Source organism: Homo sapiens, chromosome 16, assembly GCF_000001405.40.
Source record: "Homo sapiens chromosome 16, GRCh38.p14 Primary Assembly".
Classification (NCBI taxonomy): Eukaryota; Metazoa; Chordata; class Mammalia; order Primates; family Hominidae; genus Homo; species Homo sapiens.
In genome coordinates this window covers 30,658,254-30,675,193 of record NC_000016.10, presented here as the reverse complement: position 1 = coordinate 30,675,193, position 16,940 = coordinate 30,658,254, and the positions used below count along the sequence as shown (strand labels likewise).

The following is a 16,940-nucleotide window of genomic DNA, read 5'->3' as shown; positions in this document are numbered from 1 at the left end:
AGATGGAGTCTGGCTCTGTCGCTCAGGCTGGAGTGCAATGGAGCGATCCTGGCTCACTGCAACCTCCACCTCCCAGGTTCAAGTGATTGTCCTGCCTCAGCCTCCTGAGTAGCTGGGATTACAGGTGTGTGCCACCACACCTGGCTAATTTTTTTTTTTTTTTTTTGAGATGGAGTCTCTCACTCTCGCCCAGGCTAGAGTGCAGTGGCGCCATCTCGGCTCACTGCAAGCTCCACCTCCCGGGTTCACGCCATTCTCCTGCCTCAGCCTCCCGAGTAGCTGGGACTACAGGCACCCGCCACCATGCCCGGCTAATTTTTTGTATTTTTAGTAGAGACGGGGTTTCACCATGTTAGCCAGGATGGTCTTGATCTCCTGACCTTGTGATCCTCCTGCCTCGGCCTCCCAAAGTGCTGGGATTACAGGCGTGAGCCACCGCGCCTGGCAATTTTTGTATTTTTATAATAGAGACAGGGTTTCACCATGTTGGCCAGGCTGGTCTCGAACTCCTGACCTCAGGTGATCTGCCTACTTCAGCCTCCCAAAGATTACAGGCAGAGACGGCACGCCTGGCCCTTGGAATTCTGTCATTAGCTTCTGTAATTGTCCTCTTTCATAGTCCAATGTAAGCTCCAGGATGGCTGGGGTTTGTTTTGTGTACCTCTGTATCCCCAGCCACTAAGTGCAGTGCCTGGCACTGTGGATGAAGTCAACAGTGGTTGAAAGAATCAAAGGCAGCTCAGAAACTGCATCAAGTGAGGGAAGAGGGAGGTTTCTGACTTGAGTGCTGATGACACAGAGATGGAAACCTTGGGGGAAGTGGGGCATCAGATCTCGAAGATGACTTAATTTGGGATATCTGAGGTGCTTGGGGAGAGATCTAGGAGAGGTGGGATAGGCATGTCTAGAAAATATTTAACTCTACTGGGCACGGTGGCTCACGCCTGTAATCCCGGCATTTTGGGAGGCTGAGGCGGGCGGATCACCTGAGGTCAGGAGTTCGAGACGAGGCTGGCCAACATTTAGTGTGACTCCTGTCTCTACTAAAAATACAAAAAATTAGCCAGGCATGGTGTTGCATGCCTGTAATCCCAGCTACTTGCGAGGCTGAGACAGGAGAATCGCTTGAATCTGGGAGGCGCAGGTTGCAGTGACCTGAGATTGTGCCACTGCACTCCAGCCTGGACAACAGAGCAAGACTCTGTCTAAAAAAAAAAAAAAGAGAGAGAGAAAGAAAGAAAATATTTCACTGAGAGTCACTCTCAAATGCCTATAGGGGCCAGAGAGGTAGCCTGAATAGTGACTGTGGTCTACTCCAAGACAACAAGTGGAGGGGACAGTCGCAATCTGGTGAGATTATGCCCCATTTCAAAGGAAAGCCATGGGGGTAAGCAGGTCTAGTGACCACAGATTTTTGGATTTTTCAAGAGAAGCTGAAAACAAGAACTTCCATGTGAAATCTTGTCTGCAAGCCAACGTTCACCTTCTGGTCACTTGTTTCTGACTTCTGTTGGAGCAATCTAGGCTTGAGCCTTCCCTAGACATCCTGGATATGTGTGGTGGTGGCAGGGAATGTTGGCTGCATCTTTCCTAAGGCAACAGGTACATTTATGGGCCAGGCACAGTGGCTCACGCCTGTAATTCCAGCGCTTTCAGAAGTTGAGGCAGGAGGATTGCTTGGGACCAGGAGTTTGAGACCAGCTTGGACAACAAGACAAGAACCCTGTCTCTACAAAAATTTAAAGCTAGCCAAATGTGGTGGCACAGGCTTGTAGTTCCAGCTACTCGAGAGGCTGAGGCAGGAGGATCACTTGGGAATAGGAGTTCGAGGCTGAAGTGATCTGTGATTGCACCACTGTACTCCAGCCTGGGCAACAGACCGGCTGTTGTTTTGCTCAAAAGCTGCCTCAAAAGCAAAACAAGTCTGGGTGTGGTGGCTCACACCTGTAATCCCTGGACTTTGGGAGGCCAAGGGGGTAGATAGCTTGAGTCCAGGAGTTTGAGACCAGCCTGGGCAACATGGAAAAATTCTGTTTCTACAAAAAATACAAAAACTAGCTGGGTGTGGTGGTGCATGCCTATAGTCCCAGCTACTCGGGAGGCTGAGGCGGGAGGACTGCTTGAGCCCAGGAGGTGGAGGTTGCAGTGAGCTGAAATCATACTACTACACTCTAACCTGGGTGATAGAGTGAGACCCTGTCTCAAAAAAGAAAAAAAGCAGGCATACTTAGAATAAGGTCACTCAGTCAATTCTATAGGAGCTCAGGTAGGCAACAGCCCTGACAGCCCAGTTTAGTAGTGACTTGCTTTTTTTTTTTTTTTTTAGACAGAGTCTCGCCCCGTCACCCAGGCTGGAAAATCTCAGCTCACTGCAACCTCCGCCTCCCGGATTCAAGTGATTCTCCCGCCTCAGCCTCCTGAGTAGCTGGGACTACAGGAGTCAGCCACCATGCCCAGCTTTTTGTATTCTGTAGTAGAGACAGGGTTTCACCATGTTGACCAGGCTGATCTTGAACTCCTGACCTCAGGGATGTACCCATCTTGGCTTCCCAAAGTTCTGGGATCACAGGCGTGAACCACCACGCCTGGCCTTCGTGTTTGAGTCACATTTGGTTAATTCTCCCATTATCTCAAACTTTTCCATTATTGTATCTATTATAGTGATCTGTGATCTTTGATGTTACTATTGTAATTGCTTTGGGGTGCCACAAACAGTGCCCATGTAAGAGGGCGAACTCAATCAATAAATGTGTGTTAACTGTTCTCTCTCTGTGCTTGGGCCTCCCTCTTCCCAGAGACAATATTCAAACTAGGCCAATTAATAACACCCTACAATGGCCTCTAAGTGTTCAAGTGAAAGGAAGAGGCAATCAAGGAGGCAAAGTTCCTTGTTGTCAAGAAACCGCCGTCATCCCAGCCTTCACCGACCACCACCTCAGTCAGTCAGCAGCCATCACCAATGAGGCAAGAACTTCCACCAGCAAAAAGATTACGACTTGCAAAAGCTCAGATGACTGTTAGCATTTAAAAAATTAAGGGATGTACCGTTTTCATAGACATAACACTATTGCTCACTTAAGACTGCAGTATTGTGGAACAGTAATTTTTTTTTTTTTTGGAAATGGAGTCTCGCTCTGTCGCCCAGGCTGGAGTGCAGTGGCGTTACCTCAGCTCACCGCAACCTCAACCTCCTGGGTTCAAGCAATTCTCCTGCTTCAGCCTCCTGAGTAGCTGGGACTACAGGCGCACGCTATCATGCTTGGCTAATTTTTGTATTTTTAGTGGAGACAGGGTTTCACCATGTTGGCCAGGATGGTCTACAATCTCCTGACCTCGTGATCCATCTGCCTCAACCTCCCAAAGTGCTGGGATTACAGGCGTGAGCCACCATGCCCAGCCAGAACCATAACATTTATATGCACCAGGAAATGAAAAAATTCATGTGCCTCGCTTTGTTGCAGTGACCTGTAGTAGCTAGAAAAATAACTGGAGGAATTTCCCCGAAAATTAACAGTGGTTGCCAGGTGCGGTGGCTCACGCCTGTAATCCCAGCACTTTGTGAGGCCAAGGCAGGCAGATCACCTGAGGTTGGGAGTTAGAGACCAGCCCGACCAACATAGAGAAACCCCATCTCTATTAAAAAAAAAAAAAAAAAAAAAAACAAAATTAGCCAGGCGTGGTGGCGCATGCCTGTAATCCCAGCTACTCGGGAGGCTGAGGCAGGAGAATCGCTTGAACCCGGGAGACAGAGGTTGCGGTGAGCCGAGATCGTGCCATTGCACTCCAGCTTGGGCAACAAGAGCGAAACTCCGTCTCAAAAAAACAAAACAAAACAAAACAAAGCAAAAAACTGGTTATCCTCAAGAGGTGGGATGATGGAGCACTTTCCCTCCGTGTTCTGTATTTGTGTGTTTGAATGGTTTTATAATGACTATGTATTACTCCACAAAAACCAGAAAAATTTTAAATTACAGATCTTTTTAAACATACTCTGCCTGTGCAGACATGTGCGAGAACACATAGAAAGGACCTGAAGAATATACACCTAATGATTTACAGCGGTTACCTGGGGGAAGGGGATGGGGCTTGGGAAGGTTGGCAGGTGAAGGAGAAATTTAATGTTTTGCTCAGTGTCTTACTGGGTTGCTTGAATCCTACATACTATGTATTCCTGGATTATAGAAAAACAGTGTGAAAAACTTCAGTGCCCAACCCTCGAACCCATCCCTCCAGAAATGGCAGACCAACTTGCCCAGTGGATGGCAGGGAGGAAAACCTTGGCGGGATACGGACAGTACTGTCCTCATCCCTCCCTTACCCCAGGACCCACACACCCCACCCTGGTCCAACCCACCCCACACACACTCAAAGAGGAGCCGGGGGTCTCATTGTAACACTCGTTTTTATATAAATATTCGCAAGTCATGTTACAGAAGAAGCCCCACCAGGGAAAAAAGTCAACGTTAGGGTTTTGTTAGATTGACCCCTGCCTTCTAGGTTGGGCCCCAGCCTGGAGGCGCCTGCTGCTTTGGGAAGGCTGGGGTTGCTGCCGTGAGGCTGCCGAAGAAGCTGCCTGTGTCGCCCACCCCTGGGCCGACCCCCTTCTTTGGTGTGTGGTACATGGTGACCTTCTCTGGCCACCCTTAGCCTGGGGCAGGGTTTTGGAGAACAGGGTTCAGGGAAGCAGGGCCCAGGAGTCCTGGGGGCACTTGGAAATGGGGTGAAGGGGACTGAGCCATTAAGAGGTGGTGGAGTCTGAGATTTAGAGGCTGAGCCTTTGGGGGTGGGGGCAGAGTGAACGGGAACATGTTGGGGGAACCGGGGCTGTCAGCCAAGTAGGAAGCTTCTGCCCTTCCCTCCAGCCCAGGTCCCCAGGTCCTGCCCCCTGTTGGTCATCTCCTGCTGGCCCCACCTTCCCAGGGAGAAGCCTGACTGTCCCTTCCCGGCTCTTCCCCCTGCAGTCCCCTTTCCCCACAGAGAGGCCAGAGGCTAGGAACACAGCACCAGTCTGAGGGTTTAATTAACCAGGAAGGGAACTGTTGGGAGGGGCACCCCTGTAAAAATGTACAAAAGGTCTTGGGGCTATGTGAAAGGGGTGATAAATATGTACATGGAACCCCCCTTCCTTGAGCCCCTCCTCCCCCAGCCCTCGGAGGGCATGAGGACTTGGGTGGTAGGTGAACGGGAGGGGGCACTTTGGCCTCTGGCTTAGTGAGCCCTTGGGGAGGCAGGCCCAGGGCCTAGAGGCCCTTACAGGGGCAAAGGTGTACCTCAGGAGGCCCCATGGCCCCCGAGATGAGCCACACTCCCATGCACACGCCCCTCTCCCTTCTCTAGAGGCTGTGACCTCTGCTCTCCCAGTGACCCTACACTCCATGTGATGCTTGGTCTTGTGGGGGTTGAGGCTTCTGTTCCCAGGTTCCATGACCTCAGAGGTGGCTGGTGAGGTTATGACCTTTGCCCTCCAGCCCTGGCTTAAAACCTCAGCCCTAGGACCTGGTTAAAGGAAGGGGAGATGGAGCTTTGCCCCGACCCCCCCCCGTTCCCCTCACCTGTCAGCCCGAGCTGGGCCAGGGCCCCTAGGTGGGGAACTGGGCCGGGGGGCGGGCACAAGCGGAGGTGGTGCCCCCAAAAGGGCTCCCGGTGGGGTCTTGCTGAGAAGGTGAGGGGTTCCCGGGGCCGCAGCAGGTGGTGGTGGAGGAGCCAAGCGGCTGTAGAGCAAGGGGTGAGCAGGTTCCAGACCGTAGAGGCGGGCAGCGGCCACGGCCCCGGGTCCAGTTAGCTCCTCACCCGCCTCATAGAAGCGGGGTGGCCTTGCCAGGCGTGGGGGTGCTGCCAACCAGGTTGGCTCCAGGAAGCCAGCACAGCGATCTGGTGGGCTAGGGCCCAGAAACGGGGGCGGCCGGGGCCTCTCAAACAGCAGGTGAAGGCCCTGGGGCCCAGTGGCTGCTGCGGCGGCGGCAGCGGCGGCGGCAGCAGCAGCGGCAGCGGCGGCGGCAGCCTCCTCCTTCCGCTCTTCCTTTACCCGCACAGATTCCTTGGTTGGCCGAGGCCCCTCCTCACCAGCCCGGGCCTTGGGAGTAGCAGGAGAAACTCGGAGCTGGGGCCGTGAGAAGGGGAGGTCCCTGGAGGGCAGGCGTGGGGAGAGAATGAAGTTCTCCAGGGGCAGCAGGGGCTGAGGGTGGGGCAGGGGCAGGGTGGGTGGGAGGCACACCTGTCCTTCTCCTCCTTGGTGATGGAGGGCTCCCTCCGCTCCACAGGCCGCTCCTTGTCTGAGCCTGGAGTCCGGGCGGCCTCAGGGGGCCGGACCCAGGCAGGAAAGGTCAGAGGACTGCGGTGCAGGCGGCCCCATGGGTCCGGTGGGGAGGCGAAGGCTGGTGGGGCCCCTGGGCTTTCTTTCTGGGCAAAGACGGCGCCGGAGTCTGGGCAGAGGGTGAAGCAGAGAGTGACAGGGGCCAGAAGTGGGAGGCCCTGTTCAGGCCTCCTCCCAGACCGTCTGAGCTCTCACCCTGTGGCCGCAGCCCCCCCACCCCACCGCACCCGCACTCACTGAATGTGGGGCTGCCCAGGCCTCCAAAGGCCCCGTTGGAGAGGGCAGCCAAAGAGGCGAAGCTTGTGGGACGCCCAAAGGGATCTGTGGGAGGAAAGGGGGGTGGTCAGAGCACTGGGCAGCCGGTGCTGAGCAGGCACCAGGCCTGGCTGGGCAGAGGCAGGACCGGTGCCTGGAGTCCTCAGCTGCCTGCTTTCAGCAGCCATGTGCTGAGCACTTCCTTGGGCCAGGAAGGTGTTGAGCTTTGACAAGCACCCTGTCGGTTAACCTCACAAAAAGCCCAAGAGGTGGTTAGGATCATGCCCACTTGAAGATGATAAAACAGAGAGGCTCAGAGAGGTGAAATGACTTGCTGGTGGTCATCTAGCCAGGGAGCGGTACCAACCCAGGGCTTCCTTGACATGAAGTCACGCTCTTCTCCCCAACTCCCCAACACCAGCCGCCTGGACCCATCACAGCAGATCTCCGCTCCGCAGCAAGCCTGAAGACCTTGTTGGCTTCCCCCCACCTGACATGCAGGGCCCTTCCCGACCTGACCCTAACTTCATGCATGCGTCACACAGCCAGACAGAACAACTAACCTATCCCGCCACTGGAATGTCACCACGTCCCCAGCCAGGAACACCTTTCTCCAAGCCACCAGGCTCAACTCTTCCTTGTCCACCCAAACCCAGGTGAAACCTCCCCAAGAAGCCTGCCAAGATCCTAGGAGTCAGTGGCCATGCTCTCCCCTGGGCCAGCATGGCCTCCCCACCTTCCCCTTCCAGGTGGCGTACTGCCCCTGCCACTGGCTACTGGGAGACAGGGCTCCAGCTGGCAGAGACTGAAGTCACCCTGCCCTTCCCTACTCATTTTACAGATGAGGAAATCAAGGCTCAGAGGGGGTAGAGTAACCTGCCCAAGGTCACTAAGCAAGTGGAACCAGGTCTATCCTGCATTCCAGCTGCCTGCTGGGTCTGATTTCCATCTCCTGGAAGTCAGGGACAAAGCCTGGGTTGCCCAACACGCCCTTGGCTCTTACCAATGTGGGTGCTGGGGCTCAGGAAGGGTCCGTGGGCCCCGGGAGCTGCCGTGAAAGGGTTGGCTGCAGCGTGGACGGCACCTGGGGCAGAGAGGTGGGAGATTCTGATGAGGCTGAGTGGGCACAAGCTGGGCCTCAGGCTATAGACAGGGAACCTCAGGCCCGAGGGGGCTGGCCAGACTCACCAGTCGCAGTGAAGAGGGAGGCCGGGTGGGAGAGCTCCTGCCCAGGGGGCAGGGCCCCATAGGGCCCCGGAAGGCAGGGCAGGAGGTCATTCCGAAAGTCAAGCTTGTGGGAGTCACCCTGTGTGGGACACAGGGAGAGGGGCAGTACATGAGGAGCCAGTCTGGTCCCCCTCTTGCTCTCTCACCCGTGGTTCCCCTCCAAAGGCTGGCTGGCACCCAGATGGGGCCTGGATGCCTATCTTCTGCCTCTCTCGGAGCCTTCTCTGAGCAGCCCCCTAATGAGCCAGAGAACTAAGGTGCCAGCCATAGAACTGTTCAGCAGTGATGGGGGACAGGAGAGAATGTTTCTGGCCAAGATTCTGCTGAGCTCTGTTGAGGGCCAATGCCCAGAGCTCAGTCCTCCCCTGACTCTGAGACCCACTCTCCCCAGCCCTCCGGCCCCAGTACCTTCATTTTCTCCTGGTGTCTCAGGATCATGTAAGCCACACGCACGTGCATGGCACACCACTTCCCTGGTTTCTGCCGCCCCAGAAGGATGACCAAAGGGAAAGGGAAGGAAAGAACGTTCACTCATCATCCACTCCAGGCCTGGCTCTGGGCCCAGCCTCGCCACAAAATATCCCTACTCATCATTCCTACAACCAAGGGATGACTAGGTTCATTTTACAGCCTAGGAAACTGAGGCTCAGAGAGATCAACTGCCTTGCCCAAGGTCCCATGGCCAGTTCCATCCGAGCCCAGGTCTGCAACTTGAAAGCCCTCACTCTCTGCTGTTCCACATCTGGCTGCCTCCATGTTCTGGGCTTCTCACTTATTTGTAAGCAAAACCCCCCTTAGCCAAACATGCTAACACCAGCCCCCAGCCTCATGCAGCCTGAGGTCCTCACACAACTCACCCTCAAAGGTGGCCGGAAATGGTCGGGGATCTGGGGATGGCAAAGGAGAGATGGGAGGCGACTCAGACCCGAGTCCTGGGCCAGGCGCCTCGCATCTCCACAGCATCCACTCACCCCCAACATGCCTGAGACACTGGGACTCCCTCAAACCCTTCCTGCTCAGGCCCAAACTCCTTTCCCCATCTCTCCCAGTCTAGGCATCTCTCCTCCAGCACAAGGTTTCTGAACCAAGCCCCAGGGAGCTGCCCTGCTGGAAGGCTGCGGGTGGTGAGGGGGCAGGCAGGACAGGTTTCTCAGAGAAGCTCTCCTATTACCAACTTTAGAGTATAGCGGTCTGTTTAAGATTTATTTAGGGAAAATGCCTTTGAAGGAAGTTGGAAAACCTCTGGCCTAGTCTTCCCTGTAGGAAACTGGTCCTGTGCGTTTCACAACGTTCCCGCAGCCCTGGGGTCTACACTGCTGCAAGTGCTAAGGGGAGGGAGGCTCTGGCTCTCCTCACTTCACCAAGGGGCAGCTTATCTTTTGTTTTCCGAACAGGGCTTCCTGGTATGATGTCATTTGGAAAAAAAGTGTTTTGTAACTTTATTAAAAAGTTTGAAAACCACTACAAAAACCATTGTCCTAATCATCCTATTTCTGGGACAAGCTCATGAAACTCTCATTCCTCATGCCTGGGAAAGCCAGCTATTTACAGAAATTCCCTCTCTATTAGACACCCAGGAACACCCGATTGTGAATTCAAGGGAGGAATCAGCAGTTCACTCTCCTCAAGTCAGTTCTGTTCTCCCCGCAACACACCTTCCAGCTCCCCCAGGACCTGCCCTGGCCCCCTCACCTGTGTCCCCTTCTGGGAGAGCCCGCTCGGCACCGGCCCCAGTCGTGGTGGCAGCTCAGGGTTCGTGCTCTGGGAAAGGGGAGTGGAGGGATCAGACAGGAGAGCTGGCACCAAGCACAAAGGGATCCAGAACCAAGCTGGGACACTGGGCAGGGAGGGATCATGGCTTTGGAGAAAACTGGGTGCAGCAGGGCAGGGCAGGAGGATGGGCACGACTTTGGGGAATGGGAGAAGGGTGCTTGGACCCGGCGTGTCTGGGTTTGTCAAGATGGTAGGCGGTGGTGGTGTCTGGATTGGGAGCTCACCTTGGGCTGGAAGGCCCCCTGCAGGGAGCCAAAGGAGACGGCCGGCGGGAGGCCCGGAGGCAGCCCGGGCACTGCGGGAGGGAAGGCCGTGTACGGCTGTGGAGAGAAGGGGGACTAGTACAGGTGGGGGTGGAGGCGCAGCCCAAGTCCAGCCTGCCCGTCAGTCCACGGGCCTCCACCCTAAAGCCCCCCAGGGAGCTGTCCCAGGCTCAAGGCTCTTGCTTTTGTGCTGAAGACTGGACCCCAGCAGTCAGGGTCACAAGCATGGATGCATCCACGCCCACACCACACACCCCATACGCACACGCACACACACACTCACATTATGTCGGAAAAGGCCTTCCATCTTTCCTGGATATTTCTCAAACTAGGGAAGAGAAGGGAAGAGTAAGCTGCCAGCCAGGGACCCGGGCCTTCCCCCAGAAGCCATGCCCTCCCCAGAGGCCTCCGAGCCTCATCGCCAGCCCAATGAGGAGCTCACCATGTGGGGGCCGTGGGGTGGCAGCAGGCCCGGGGGATAAGGGGTGAAGTGCTGGTGGGTGTGCTGGTGGGTGTGCTGGTGCTGGTGGTTGTGCTGGTGGAACTGGAAGGCCAGGGGCCGGGCCGAGCCCCCTGCCCCCACCACCTCAGGGCCACCCTGGGCATTCAGGTAGCGAGAGTTCAGGTCCTGGCCGATCAGGTCCTGCTCTGTGGGAGGGGACGGGAGAAGGCTTTAATGCTGTCGCCACATCAGCCTCCTTGGGCCCAGGTGACTGCCTTCCCTCTGGCCTCGAGCCACTCCCTCCTCAAGCCCTGCTGTCTGCTGAGGCTCAGGTGCCCCAAAGCCAACTGGGCCCGAGCCCGGGGTGATGGCCCCCCACCCCCCGGCCAGGACCCCAAACTCACCAGAAAGGGCGTTAGCGGCTGAGGCCCCAGGGTGCCCTGGCACCTGCAGCAGGGGTGGGGGTGGGGGCAGGGTGGGGCCAGGGGAGAACAAGGAGGGGTGGTGGGGTGGTGGGGGGGGCCGCAGCCCGGGAGGGGGAAAGCTGTGGGTGGACAAAGGCAGGGGCAGTGAGGGCGTCGGGGGCCGGTGGGTGAGCTGCGCGGACGAGGAGGAGGCAGATGAGGAGGAGGAGGACGAAGAGGATGATGAGGGGGGAGGCTGAGCCACGGGAGGGGCCGGGGCCTTGGGGGGCGGCCGTGAAGAGCTGGGGAGAGAAGTGGGGAGATGAGTGAGGGGTTGGGAGGTGCCAGCTCTGACGGGAGGGGGTCAGAAGCCTGGGTGATACCGTGACCCTGGTTCTCCAACACGGGAGGTGGCAGAACCCAGCCCCAGGACCGCCCCCCACCGAGGGAATCCGTTCTCAGACTGAGGCGCCTCCCACACCCAGCAACCCCTATTTCTCCCTGTCTAGGTCTCTGCATCCACGCAGCTGCCTCTGCCATCTCTGGCCAGATGACTTTCCCTTTCTGACTCAACCACAGCACAGAACAGATCATTCATGTTGACGCTTAATTAGAACAAGCCACCTGGGGTCCCACCCTACAACAGTGGAAGCAGCACCACACTGGCCTGGCCTGGGAGTCAGGAGACCTGAATTCTAGGCCCATCTTGCCATGAATGCCCGGGGTGACCTTGAGCAAGTCACTGCCCCTCTCTGAGCCTTAGTTTTCTCAATAATAACAATGACAATGACGGTGACAAAATAGAGCATCAATAGTAAGTGTCAATAGTTCTTACCCTGTGGCAAGCACCTGCTGTAGGCCAAGTGCTGGCACCTGCTTTAAAAGCTAATCCAAGTCTCCAACATTCCACGCCACCTTCCCCACTGCTGCCCAGCAAAGTAACCATCTGAACTGCATCAATGGCTTCTTTTAAGAACTCAATTTCCTTTTTTTTTTTTTTAACTTAGCCTCCCCCTAAGCAATCGCGTGTGAAATCAAGGGGCTGAGGCATGACACTCAGCTTTCTAAAGTTCACAAAAGCTAACTCAGGACTATTTTTTAAAGTTTACTCACGTAAGACCTGAAATCATCCCATATATCACTGACGCTGAATGTACACACTTTGGGAAACACTGCATTCACTCGTAGTTAATCCTCACAACAGCTTTAAGATGAAAGTACTATGATCATTCCATTTGACAGAAAGAGGAAATCGAGGCTCAGAGGGGTTAAGTGACTTGTCAAAAATCACACAGCCAGGAAGCGTCAGAGCAAGAATTTGAATCTGGGTCTGACACCAAAGCCAGCGCTCTTAACCATCATGTCAGCATTTCCCAAAGTATGTTCCAAAGAACACTATTCCGAGCAGACTTGCCTGCCTGAAAAAACGTTCTCACCAGCAAACACAACTGGGAAACAGCACAGCCTGGATTCCCCTGCATGGGAATGTGTAACGGACTCAAATAAGTCCTGCAGTCATCTCTTTCCATTTGTTTTTCTCAAACTTTTCAGTCTCAGAATCCTTTTTCAAGTCATACCCCACAGGTACCATCCTGTGTCCCCGCCACCAAACTGACCAGGCCCTTCCGGACCGCATCAATCCCCCAAGACCACTCACCTGCCAGTGCTGAGGTCCAGGCTGCTGCCATATGGAGAAGTGCGGAGGCCGAAGGGTGAGACCCGAAGCTGCAGCTGGGGCTGGGGTGGGGGTGGCAGACTGGGAGTGGCCGGCAGGGGTGCAGGGGGTGAGACAGGAGGCCGAGGGACCGGTGGAGGCGGTGGTTCCTTTGGGGGGAAAGGCACTAGCAGCGGGTCGGGCCCCGGGGGCTGTTCTTGGCTCCGCTCCAGGCCCGACACTTTAGGGACCACGGAGAGTTTTGCTTCACAGTTCCCATTGAAGGCGCCGTGGGGGCCCGAGGCTGTGGGGCAGGATGGCAGACATGCTCAGTTGAGGCTCATGCTCACCCCACTGCCCTCCCGTGCCTCCAGCCCCAGACCTTGGGACCAACCTTTGCTGGTTGAGACAGTAAAGGATGGGTCGAGGTCATCATCGGAGACCTGGGGAAGAAGGGCAAGGGATAGAGTTAGGTTGTGGGTGGGCCAGGCCTCCACCCAGGAAGGCCAAATAGCCTCTGGAGGCTGCTAGGAACTGGTGGTAGTGGCAAGTCTGTTCCTTCAGTTTAGCTGAGATCCATCAAAGACTGGGCTCTAGGGGGCTGAGCTTGGAGAAAAAGCAGAGTGGAGCAGCTGACCCCAAGAATCCGATAGGCCAAGAGGACTAAATGGAGGCAGCGTTGAAGCAGCAGAGAAGCAGGCAAACCAAACCAAAACGTCAGAGGTCACTAGCTGCTGGCCCACAGGCCTCCCTCGCTTACAGATTTATTTGGTCCACCAGCGTTGGTAAAAGTTTTAAACCAACTGCAGATATTTAAGAATCCGGAGATTCCTCATTAAAACTCAGGCTTGCAGATTGCCTCAAGAATGGGCCCCCTGTTCTCGTAGCAACAATCAGCCTAGACAGATAGAGATGGATGACGGAAATTGACAAGAACCCTCTGGTTCACCACAGTCCTATCCAGCCAACTTTTGAAACAAAAACAAGACACACATCAGGGAGTGCAAATTGAGTTACTTACATGGGCCCAATGGGTAGCGCATTAACTTCTAGGACATACTATCTCACAACAAGCAAATCGCCCCTAAGGATAAACTCAAATACACCTTTATGGGCTGAGTCCCTACACTGACTACAATGATTTAGTGTCCTCACTACTCTATCTGCGGTCTCTGCTCAGACTTGAATCTAGATCTTCATTCTAAGATGGGAAGAAGGCCCATCTCAGTGCCACAGCCACTCTGGGTTTCCGTGGAGAACCAGAAGTAGCTCAAGGGCTTTGGAAAGGATAGTATGCCAAAGCATGGACCCTCCATTCCTTGGTCAGCTAACCCCTAGTCACCAAAAGAAAAAATGACGCCATTTACCCTCCCAATCCACCCCCGTTCCTCCCAAAAACCTAATCCTGACTCAACCTAAGCCATGTTTCTCACTCAAGGGAAGGCTGTCTGCTGCACGCAGAAGACCTTTATGCTGCAGTCCCTTTTACAAGCAGTGACACTGCCCACCCAAGCTCTAGCCCCACTCACCCTCTCGTCCAGATCACTTTCCGCGTCACACTGGGGAGAAGGAAAGACAGAGGTGTCACGAGAGGGAAGAGGCCCAGGGTGGAGCAGGGAGGGGCCAGGACAGGTGGATAGCACTTACTATGTATCCAGCTTCCAGAGAGTGACGGGAGGACGCCTGAGGAAGACCAGAGTCCAGAGGTGAGGGAGGCGGCTGCTGAGGCAGCTGGGAAAGTCGCAGCTCCCAGCAGGGCGCTCATGGGCCTCCAGGATCTACTCTCAGCCTCTCCTTCCAGCTGCTTCTCCCGCCACTGCCCACCCGGGTCCCAGTGCTCTCACCATTCTCTAAATACGCCGGGTCCTCACGTCTTCATGCTCTTGCCCAAAACAACTTTTCCCCGTGTCTTTTCTTAGCAAACTTCTGACTATACTTCAGGACCTGACTAAGACATCCTAGGGGGCTTTCCCCAACCACAACTCTCCTCCCATCCCCCAGGCAGCACAAGCGGCTTCCTCATGTGGGTTTCTGTAGCATCTCTCCCCATCTTTGTCTTCTGTAGCTTCTCAAATTAAGGTCTAGGTGTTTGCTTGCTGGCTATTTCTTTTCTGCTGGACTGCCACCACCTCGAGGAAGGGCAGGAACCACAATTAATTTACGACCCAACTATATTCCTTTGACGCCTCTCTGAATTATCAAAACGTTTGAAGTAGACACAGAACCAGGCAAAAGGAGGTGCACCTGACTGTAGACAGGCCTTCGTCAGACCCGGATGAGTAAGGGCTCAAATTTGCCCTGCTTGCCTCTTTGCCCTTAGAAACTGGGGTCTCTGTTTACAAGGGGCAGTGGCGTTGCTGATGAAAAACGGGGCTGTGGGAAATACATTCTGCCTAAAGAGTTTTAAGGGACAACCTCACCTCTTTTCTTCTCCGCTTATTGGGCCATTTTCGGGCCCGATCCCCAGGGGGCCGGCCAGGCTCTCGATCAGAGCTGTCCCCTGGCTCCCCGGTGGCCCCACTGGAGCCCCCCCTTTTCCGCTTCCCAGAATGCTTCAGCCGATGTTCCAGTCGCTCTGGGGGCTGAAGAGATGCATCCTTCTGTGGAGGAGGAGGTGGGGCTGAGATAGATGGAAAAGGGCAAGCTCCCAACCCCTCTAGGGGTGACCAGGTTGCCGAAGTACCCCTCGGGCCGGGAAACCGGGTCCCCAGAGACGAGCTCTACCTCCTCCCACCCCAGGGCGGGGCAGAGGCCTGGCCAGAGGAGCCGGTTGCTCTGGTTTGGGGTGCCAGCATTCCCCCCTCAACTCCACCCACTAGGGGCACTGCCCCCTCCTTGCTGCCCCTCGGAAACCCCCAAAGTCTCCTAGCCCCATTAGGCCCCACCTGCAAGGCCTCGAGGGTGGCGAAGCTGGCGATGGCGAAGCCATCGATCAAGTCCTCCTCCTCCTCTTCCTCCTCCTCAGGCTCCTCCTCGGCTTCGCCGTCGTCTGCGCCCCCCTCCTCCTCCTCCTCCTCCTCTTCCTCCCCGCGGCTGCCCGAGCCGGCAGGCCGCTTCCGAGCTCGGGGTCGCGGGGGTCGAGGTCTCGGACGGGGCCGCCGGCGTCTCGGGCCCCCAGGCCGCTCTCCAGACGAAGCTGACGACCAAGGCCTGGCGGGCGGCGGCGGCGACGACGAGGACGAGGAGCCGCGCGGGGCGGCCAACAGGGCCCGGGGCGCGTCGCCGCCTGGACCTCGGCGGCGCCGCTGCTCCCGGTCTCGGTCTCGGCGCGAGCAGCGCCGCCGTCGGCGCTCCCCCTCTGCTGCCCAGCCCGGACCCGGGGCCGCGGCCGCTGCCGTCTCCATGGCGACCGCCCTCAGCGCCGCATCCGGAGGCGGCGGGGCCCGAAGCGGCCTGTCCGCAGGCCCGGGGTCGCAGGCGCGGCGCTGGCGGCTGCACAGTGACGAGAGGGCCACGGCTTCTCCTTTAAAGCCGGATCTGCTGGCCCCGAGCTTGCCCCAAGGCCACGGCCCGGGGAGCCGGCGCCGCCCCCGGGGCGACAAGCCCGAGGGCCCCCCCTGCGGGCTCGGCGGGGCCGCGACGGCGAAAACGGGGCGGCCGTCCCTTTAAGGCGAGGCCCCAAGTTGTCCAGCTCCCGGCCCCTTTAAGACGACCCGACAGTGTCCGGCGGCCTAGTGCGGTGGCCACCCCCTGCCAGGGGTCGATGCAAGTCTCCCCGAGGAAGAGGAAGGGCCACCCCTTTAAAAGGGGCCGAAAGCTCGCCCCGAAACGCAGACCTCCCCTTTAAAAGTGTCTCAAGTCCTCCGGCTCAAAGAGGCCACCCCTTTAAGGAGTCCAGGGTCCTTCTAACAGCAGGCCGTCCCTTTAAGGGCTCGGAGTTAGTTTCTAGTCCTCCACAAGCGGCCACTTCCCCTTTAAGTTGAATTTAAAAGACTTCTTGTGTGTGGGGGAGGAGGACGTAAAGAAAAACCCCACTCGCCCCAGTTCTCCCAACGGCACAGTTCTCAATTTGTCAGCGTCTGCTCGGCGGCTTCCCCTTTAAGGCTGGCGTTGCAGTCCGCCGAGTTCAGTGGCCACCCCTTTAAGGAGATTTAAAGGGGCCTCCTCCGGGCCCAGCTCCTCCAGCCTCCGCCTCCGGTCGCCATGAAAGGCGCGAGGCGGGGCGGGGCAGCGAGGCCAGCCCTCCAAAGCCCCGGATGTGAGGCAACGGTGACGGGTACAGCTCCCCTGTCCGCCGACATAAAAGTCTCTTCCTCCTTTCCTCCGTCTCTGTCCGACTTGGGCCTTAGGGGATCCGGAACGGCCGATGGGCAGCGGGGGAGCTCCAGCACAAACTCCTGTTGTCTCCTTTGGAGTCTTAGGGCGCTTCTCCGCCAGGACTTCCCTACCCCTCCTCCCTCTTCCTCCTCAGCCTACGCCTCCTTCCTCTCTCGGCCTCCTCCCACGCTCCGCCCCCTTCCCCTCACCCCCAACGGGCGCAGTCGTTGATAGGCTGGGAGGGCTACGTCAAGGTGAGGGGCGGAGCCAAACCCGAGGGAGTGGGTGCATGTAACCGCCCTCAAATCTTGGATTGGGTTACGTCGGATTGGCTCCGCCCTTCCCCCCAGTC

General features: G+C 56.7%; 1 protein-coding gene across 5 annotated transcripts, besides 6 other annotated features; it reads right to left on the bottom strand.

The window, feature by feature from the left end:
- Positions 1–4,383: 4,383 nt before the first annotated feature.
- FBRS (fibrosin) lies at positions 4,384–16,763 on the bottom strand. Of its 5 annotated transcripts, NM_001105079.3 has the most exons (18): positions 15,217–16,763; positions 14,752–14,931; positions 13,979–14,014; positions 13,861–13,890; positions 12,726–12,774; positions 12,335–12,635; positions 10,678–10,979; positions 10,274–10,479; positions 10,115–10,159; positions 9,793–9,888; positions 9,488–9,556; positions 8,653–8,682; positions 8,204–8,275; positions 7,757–7,874; positions 7,572–7,652; positions 6,551–6,634; positions 6,215–6,422; positions 4,384–6,125 (listed from the first exon to the last, which is right to left on the bottom strand). In NM_001105079.3, the coding sequence occupies exons 1-18, from the start codon at positions 15,673–15,675 to the stop codon at positions 5,549–5,551; spliced, it is 2,943 nt and encodes a 980-aa protein (NP_001098549.2). In that variant the 5' UTR covers positions 15,676–16,763; the 3' UTR covers positions 4,384–5,548. The 5 variants fall into 5 exon arrangements, with proteins under 5 accessions (NP_001098549.2, XP_011544218.1, XP_011544219.1 ...); XM_011545916.3 differs by lacking the exon at positions 8,653–8,682; XM_011545917.3 differs by lacking the exon at positions 13,861–13,890.
- Positions 4,765–4,958: a silencer, noted in NCBI's record as "fragment chr16:30681557-30681750 (GRCh37/hg19 assembly coordinates)". NCBI's record gives its function as "represses an EF-1alpha promoter that drives an FKBP-Casp9 reporter gene in an ReSE screen in phorbol 12-myristate 13-acetate-treated (for megakaryocytic differentiation) K562 erythroleukemia cells {active_cell/tissue: K562(+PMA)}" and the evidence as "EXISTENCE:reporter gene assay evidence [ECO:0000049][PMID:32094911]".
- Positions 14,208–14,367: an enhancer, noted in NCBI's record as "active region_10718". NCBI's record gives its function as "activates an Ori minimal core promoter by ATAC-STARR-seq in GM12878 lymphoblastoid cells {active_cell/tissue: GM12878}" and the evidence as "EXISTENCE:reporter gene assay evidence [ECO:0000049][PMID:35858748]".
- Positions 15,578–15,627: a silencer, noted in NCBI's record as "silent region_7388". NCBI's record gives its function as "represses an Ori minimal core promoter by ATAC-STARR-seq in GM12878 lymphoblastoid cells {active_cell/tissue: GM12878}" and the evidence as "EXISTENCE:reporter gene assay evidence [ECO:0000049][PMID:35858748]".
- Positions 15,698–15,927: a silencer, noted in NCBI's record as "silent region_7387". NCBI's record gives its function as "represses an Ori minimal core promoter by ATAC-STARR-seq in GM12878 lymphoblastoid cells {active_cell/tissue: GM12878}" and the evidence as "EXISTENCE:reporter gene assay evidence [ECO:0000049][PMID:35858748]".
- Positions 16,048–16,497: an enhancer, noted in NCBI's record as "active region_10717". NCBI's record gives its function as "activates an Ori minimal core promoter by ATAC-STARR-seq in GM12878 lymphoblastoid cells {active_cell/tissue: GM12878}" and the evidence as "EXISTENCE:reporter gene assay evidence [ECO:0000049][PMID:35858748]".
- Positions 16,748–16,927: a silencer, noted in NCBI's record as "silent region_7386". NCBI's record gives its function as "represses an Ori minimal core promoter by ATAC-STARR-seq in GM12878 lymphoblastoid cells {active_cell/tissue: GM12878}" and the evidence as "EXISTENCE:reporter gene assay evidence [ECO:0000049][PMID:35858748]".